General features: G+C 48.8%; 1 annotated feature.

Annotated features, from left to right (window-relative positions):
* Positions 424-533: an enhancer, noted in NCBI's record as "active region_4918". NCBI's record gives its function as "activates an Ori minimal core promoter by ATAC-STARR-seq in GM12878 lymphoblastoid cells {active_cell/tissue: GM12878}" and the evidence as "EXISTENCE:reporter gene assay evidence [ECO:0000049][PMID:35858748]".

Raw genomic sequence — 6,833 nt, forward strand, 5'->3', positions numbered from 1 at the left:
ACCCTGTCACACAGGCTGGAGTGCAGTGGCTCGACCTTGGCTCACCGCAACCTCTGCCTCCCAGGTTCAAGCAATTCTCCTGCCTCGGCCTCTTCAGGTGCACTTCAGGTGCACGCCACCACACCTGGCTAATTTTTGTGTTTTTTTGGAGAGATGGGGTTTTGCCATGTTGGCCAGGCTGGTCTCAAACTCCTGACCTCAGGTGATCCGCCCACTTCAGCCTCCCTAAGTGCTGGGATTACAGGCATGAGCCACCGCGGCCAGCCCGCTCTACGTTTTTTTTGTTGTTGTTGTTGTTGTTTGTTTGTTTGCTTTGTTAGCATTAACACCTTCTAGACAGGGGCTCTGGAAGGAGGCACTGTTGACGCTTGAGGTCGGGTAATTCTGTGACTGGGGCTGTCCTGTGCATTGTAGGATGACGAGCAGCATCTGTGGTTTCTACCCACTGGATGCCACCAGTTCAGCTCCCGCAGTGGGGACAACTAAAGATGTCTCCAGATGTTGCCAAATGTCCCCTGGGATGCCAAAATAGCCCCAGCTTGAGAACCACTATTCTAACATATGATATGACCACTTTGTTTCTCTGTTTTGAGACAGGTCTCGCTCTGTTGCCCAGGCTGGTGTGCAGTAGTGCAACCATGGCTCACTGCAGCTTTGACCTCCTGGGCTCAAGGTGGTCCTTCCACTTCAGCCTCCGAAGTGCTGGGATTACAGGAATGAGTCACCATGCCTGGCCTGATTTATTTATTGTTTGTCCCCTACCACCAGAAGATAAGCTCTACAGGACAGGAAATGTGTCTGCCGTGTTCACTGATGTGTCCCCTGGGCCTAGAATAGTGTCTGGCACATAATAGGTGTTCAACAAATATTTGCTAAAGAATACACGCATGCATGCAAAGCAGTAGGGTTTTTGTTTGTTTTTATTTTTCTATTGTTTTTTTATTTTTATTTTTATTTTTTTTGAGATGGAGTCTCCCTCTGTCTCCCAGGCTGCAGTGCAGTGGCACAATCTCAGCTCACTGCAACCTCCACCTCCCGGATTCATGTGATTCTCCTGCCTCAGCCTCCCGAGTATCTGGAATTACAGGTGCCCGCCACCATGCCCGGCTAATTTTTGTATTTTTAGTAGAGACAGGGCTTTGCCATGTTGGCCAGGGTGGTCTCAAACTCCTGACTTCAGGTGATCCATCTGCCTCGGCCTCCCAAAGTGTTGGGATTACAGGCATGAGCCATTGCACCTGGCCAAAGCAGTCATGATTAATGATTGACCTGGAATGTAGGCTGTGTGAGGAGGCATGTAAGGACAAGAGAAGGGTGACAGACAGCAAATGTGTAGTAATATCAATGGATTGCAGGTTTCTGTGGGGTCAACCGTCAATTCGAGTTGGGGTGCTAGAGTGGGCTGGAAAGAGAGTGGTGTTGGTTAGAGAGTAGGATGCTTGGCCAGGGGCAGTGGCTCACACCTGTAATCCCAGCACTTAACTGAGGCGGTTGAAAAATTAGCCGGGGGTGGTGGTGGGCGCCTGTAATCCCAGCTACTCGGGAAGCTGAGGCAGGAGAATCGCTTGAACCCGGGAGGCGGAGGTTGCAGTGAGCTGAGATCGTTCCACTGCACTCCAGCCTGGGTGACAGAACGAGACTCTGTCTCAAAAAAAAAAAAAAAAAAAGAGAGAGTAGGATGCTTGAGATTGAAATTATGGGGAGGGGGTTGTCATTATTGGCAAAGAAAAGATCTAGAGCAGAGCTTTCAACAGAAATATAACATGAGCCACAATACGATTTTGGCATTTCTAGCAGCTACTTTTTTTTTTTTTTGAGACACAGTCTCACTCTGTCGCCCAGGCTGGAGTGCATTGGCACGATCTTGGCTCACTACAACCTCCGCCTCCTGGGTTCAAGCAATTCTGCCTCAGCCTCCTGAGTAGCTGGGATTATAGGTGTGTGCCACCATGCCCAGCTAATTTAAGTAGCTACATTTTTAAAAGTAAGAAGCCGGGCACAGTGGCTCATGCCTGTAATCCCAGCACTTTGGGAAGCTGAGGCAAGAGGATCGTTTGAGTCCTGGAGTTCAAGACCAGGCTGGGCAATATAGTGAAACCCTGTCTCTAACAACCCCAAAAGTTAGCCAAGTGCTCACACCTGTGGTCCCGATTACTCAGGTCAGGAGGCTGAGACTGGAGGACCACTTGAGCCCAGGAGCTGGAGGCTGCAGTGATGCAGTGAGCCATGATCACGCCACTGCACTGAAGCCTGGGCAACAGAGTGAGACCCTGTCTTCAAAAAGATAAAAATAAAAATAAAAGAAGACAGAGGTGGAATTAATTTTAATCCTATATCTTGTTTAACCCAATATATCTGAAAATGCGATTTCAATTTGTAATAAATATAAAAATTATTGGGGCAGGCGCAGTGGCTCATGCCTGTAATCCCAGCACTTTGGGAGGCCGAGGTGGGCGGATCACGAGGTCAGGAGATCGAGACCATCCTGGCTAGCATGGTGAAACCCCATCTCTACTAAAAATATAAAAAATTAGCTGGGTGTGGTGGTGGGCTCCTGTAGTCCCAGCTACTCAGGAGGCTGAGGCAGAAGAATTGCTTAAACCCGGGAGGTGGAGCTTGCAGTGAGCCGAGATCACGCCACTACACTCCAGCCTGGGCTACAGAGCCAGACTCCATCTAAAAAAAAAAAATTATTGTCGGGCGCAGTGGCTCATGCCTGTAATCACAACACTTTGGGAGGGTGAGGCTGGTGGATCACCTGAGGTCAGGAGTTCAAGACCAGCCTCACCAACATGGTGAAACCCCATCTCTACTAAAAATACAAAAAAATTAGCCAGGTGTGGTGGCATGCGCCTGTAATCCCAGCTACTCGGGAGGCTGAGGCATGAGAATCGCTTGAACCCAGGAGGCGGAGGTTGCAGTGAGCCAAGATCATGCCACTGCACTCCAGCCTAGGTGACAGAGCCAGACCCCATCTCAAAATATATAAATAAATAAAATAATAAAAATTATTAATGATAATTTACAATTCTTTCACACAGACTGTTTGAAATCTAGTATGTGTTTTGCACTCACAGCATATCTCAATTCGGGAGAGATGCAGTGCTCCGTGGCCATGTGTGGCTGGGCTCCTGTATAGGACAGTGCGGCTCTCCAGGATGACTGTGGGAGTGAGTGGCTGAGGTAGGATAGACGACAAGATCCAGTGGGAAGAGGGCTTCAAGGAACTGGGAGGCCCAGCATAGATATCAACATGTCTAAGAATTAAGACAGAAGTAGGTTGGAGTGATGGCAAGCCAGGAACTAAAATGATCTAGAACTGGGCCGTCATGGGTTGGGAGATGTCAGAAACCAAGTGGGTGGCATCAGCTGATAACTGGAGTTCAAACCTGAGTGTTTGAAAGGAGGAGGTGAAGTACTATCTTGGGCAGAAAAAAAATAAAAAGGAAAGCAAAAGAGGAGGGAGCAGAATGTCTATAAGTGATGAGGGATTATGGAGGATGCCTACCCCAACTCTTCCAGGCCCATCGCAGGAGGGGTGCAGGAGAGCCTGCGGGGGGTTGCGGGGGAGACAGGAGTGGTGGTGACCTCAGGAGTCCAAGGTTTCTGCTAGAGCAGGAGGGATAGGAACTGTCTGGAGAAGGTAGTGAAGACCAGGAGATTTTGCTAACGATGGACCATCACCCCCAGAGGGAACAGAGGACATCTGCCAGGAGCTGGGGAGGGGTGGAGATGGAGTCAGAAAAGGGGATGGCCGGAGTTGTCCCTGGAACATCTGAGCCTCCTGTGGTGAAATGACACACAGCAATAAAGGGCAAGACCACTTCTGAGGGTCTCGAGGTTGGCTGGGGGTTGGGGGGCCCAGCTGTGAGTGTGAGGACAGGGGATGGAAGGGTCTGAAGCTCCAGTGGGATTTCTGCTGCTAAAGACAAGGAGGCCCTGGGAGGGTGGTCCCTCTGGACATCGCCAATATGGGTATGCATTGAACAAGCTAAGAGAAAGTCATCTCATGGGTGGAGGGGAGGGAGTCAAAGGGGAATTCGGCCCCTAATTTCTTTTCCAAAAAATTTTGTGTATTGTTGTAATTAAAATTAATTTAAAATAACACCAGCTAGGTATATTCTTTTTTTTTGTTTTGTTTTTTGTTTTTTTTTTGAGATAGAGTCTCACTCTGTTCGCCAGGCTGGAGTGAAATGGCACGATCTCGGCTCACTGCAAGCTCCGCCTCCTGGGTTCAAGCGATTCTCCTGACTCAGCCTCCCGAGTAGCTGGGACTACAGGCACGTGCCACCATGCCCAGCTAATTTTTGTATTTTTAGTAGAGATTGGGTTTCACCATGTTGGCCAGAATGGTCTCAATTTCCTGACCTTGTGATCTGCCCGCCTTAGCCTCCCAAAGTGCTGGGATTACAGGCGTGAGCCACCGTGCCCAGCTAGGTAATATTCTTGACTTAAAAAGTTTAATCTAGGGGGCAATGGAAAAATAAATAAATAAAAACAAAGTTTAATCTAGATCAGGTGCAATGGCCCACTCCTGTAGTCCCAGCACTTTTGGGAGGCCGAGGCTCTTGAGGAGAGTCACTTGAGGTCAGGAGTTCAAGACCAACCTGGGCAACATAATAAGACCTTGTCTCTACAAAAAAAAAAAAAAAAAGAAAAAAATCCACCAGGCATGGGCCTGTAATCCCAGCTAGTTGGGAGGCTGAGGCAGGAGGATCACTTGAGCCCAGTAATTCAAGACCACAATGAACTATGATTGCACCACTGCACTCCAGCCTGGGTGACAGGGCCATGTTAGGCAACAGGGTCGTGCCATGTTGTGCAGGCTGATCTCAAATTCCTGGCCTTAAGTGATCCTCCCACCTTGGCCTCCCAAAGCGCTGAGATTACAGGCGTGAGCTACGGTACCTTGCCAAATAACATTTTTGACACAACTGTACCACAAAGTAGGTGACTTAAACAACATAAATTAATTGTCATGGCCAATTTTTTACTTTTTGTAGAGACAGAGTCTCGCTATATTGCCTAGGCTGGTCTCGAACTCTGGGCTCAAGCAATCCTCCTGCCTCAGCCTCTCAAAGTGTTGTGATTACAGGTGTGAGTCACTGTACCAGGCCTGGCTTCTTATTCTTAAGACATAATTGCTGAAATATTTAGATGTGAGATTCAAGATGTCTGCAACTTACTTTCAATGGTTTAGCAAAATACATGCTATATAGATAGGAAGCAGAAGCAGCAAAATGTTTATTGGTGGATCTAGGGGAAGAGTATATGGAGTTTTTTTTTTTTTTTTTTTTTTTTTTTTTTTGAGATGGAGTCTCACTCTATCGCCCAGGCTGGAGTGCAGTCGCACGATCTCGGCTCACTGCAGGCTCCACCTCCCAGGTTCACGCCATTCCCCTGCCTCAGCCTCCCGAGTAGCTGGGACTACAGGTGCCCGCCACCACGCCCAGTTAATTTTTTGTATTTTTAGTAGAGATGGGGTTTCACTGTGTTAGCCAGGATGGTCTCCATCTCCTGACCTCGTGATTCACCCGCCTCGGCCTCCCAAAGTGCTGGGATTACAGGCGTGAGCCACCGCACCCGGCCTTTTTTTTTTTTTTTTTTAAGATGGAGTCTCACTCTGTTGCCCAGACTGGAGTGCAGTAGTGGGATTTCAGCTCACTGCAACTTCCGCCTCCCAGGTTCAAGTGATTCCCCTGTCTCAGCCTCCCAAGTAGCTGGGATTACAGGCGCCCGCCACCCGCCCTGGCTAATTTTTTTTTTATGTTTTTAGTAGAGACAGGGTTTCACCATGCTGGCTAGGCTAGTCTTGAACTCCTGACCTCAGGTGATCCACCCATCTCAGCCTCCCAAAGTGCTAGGATTACAGGCGTAAGCCACCACGTCAGGCCTTTTTAAATTTTTATTTATTTATTTATTTAGAGATGGATTCTTGCTCTGTCGCCCAGGCTGGAGTGCAGTGGCACGATCTCAGCTCACTGCAGCCTCCACCTCCCTGGTTCAAGTGATTATCCTGCCTCAGCTTCCTGAGTAGCTGGGATTACAGGTGCGCACCACCATGCTCAGCTAGTTTTTGTATTTTTAGCAGAGATGAGGTTTCACAATGTTGGCCAGGCCGATGTTGAACTCCCAGCCTCAGGTGATCTGCCTGCCTCAGCCTCCCGAAGTGCTGGGATTACAGGCGTGAGCCAGTGCCTGGCCGGAGTTCATATTCTTTCCATCTTTCTGCAGGTTTGAAATTTAACATAGGCCGGGTGCGGTGGCTCACGCCTGTAATCCCAGCACTTTGGGAGGCCGAGGCGGGCGGATCACGAGGTCAGGATATCCAGACCATTCGGGCTAACACGGTGAAACCCCGTCTCTACTAAAAATACAAAAAAATAGCCGGGCACGGTGGCAGGTGCCTGTAGTCCCAGCTACTTGGGAGGCTGAGGCAGTAGAATGGCATGAACCCAGGGGGCGGAGCTTGCAGTGAGCCGAGATCACGCCACTGCACTCCAGCCTGGGGAACAGAGTGAGACTCTGTCTCAAAAAAAAAAAAAGAAAGTTAACATAAAATATTGGGAGAAAATTAATTTTTTAGAAGTGTAAAAATTTGTACATCTGAAAGTCTTTTGGCTGAATTACTGCTGGGCACTGGGAAGCAGCCGTTTCTCCAGTTTAGTGAGGGACAGCTCCAGGTCTCAGCTTGCCACAGGCCTGAGTATCTCCATACAGGGCTCTCTCTTTGAGTCTCTGCACCTCAGTAGGCCGAAGAATATTTCCTGAGTGGGCCGAAGGCATTTTCCACCATGATCTTACTCGTCTCACCAGAACCTCCCATGAGATAG

This window comes from Homo sapiens, chromosome 11 (genome assembly GCF_000001405.40).
Source record: "Homo sapiens chromosome 11, GRCh38.p14 Primary Assembly".
NCBI classification, from domain to species: domain Eukaryota; kingdom Metazoa; phylum Chordata; class Mammalia; order Primates; family Hominidae; genus Homo; species Homo sapiens.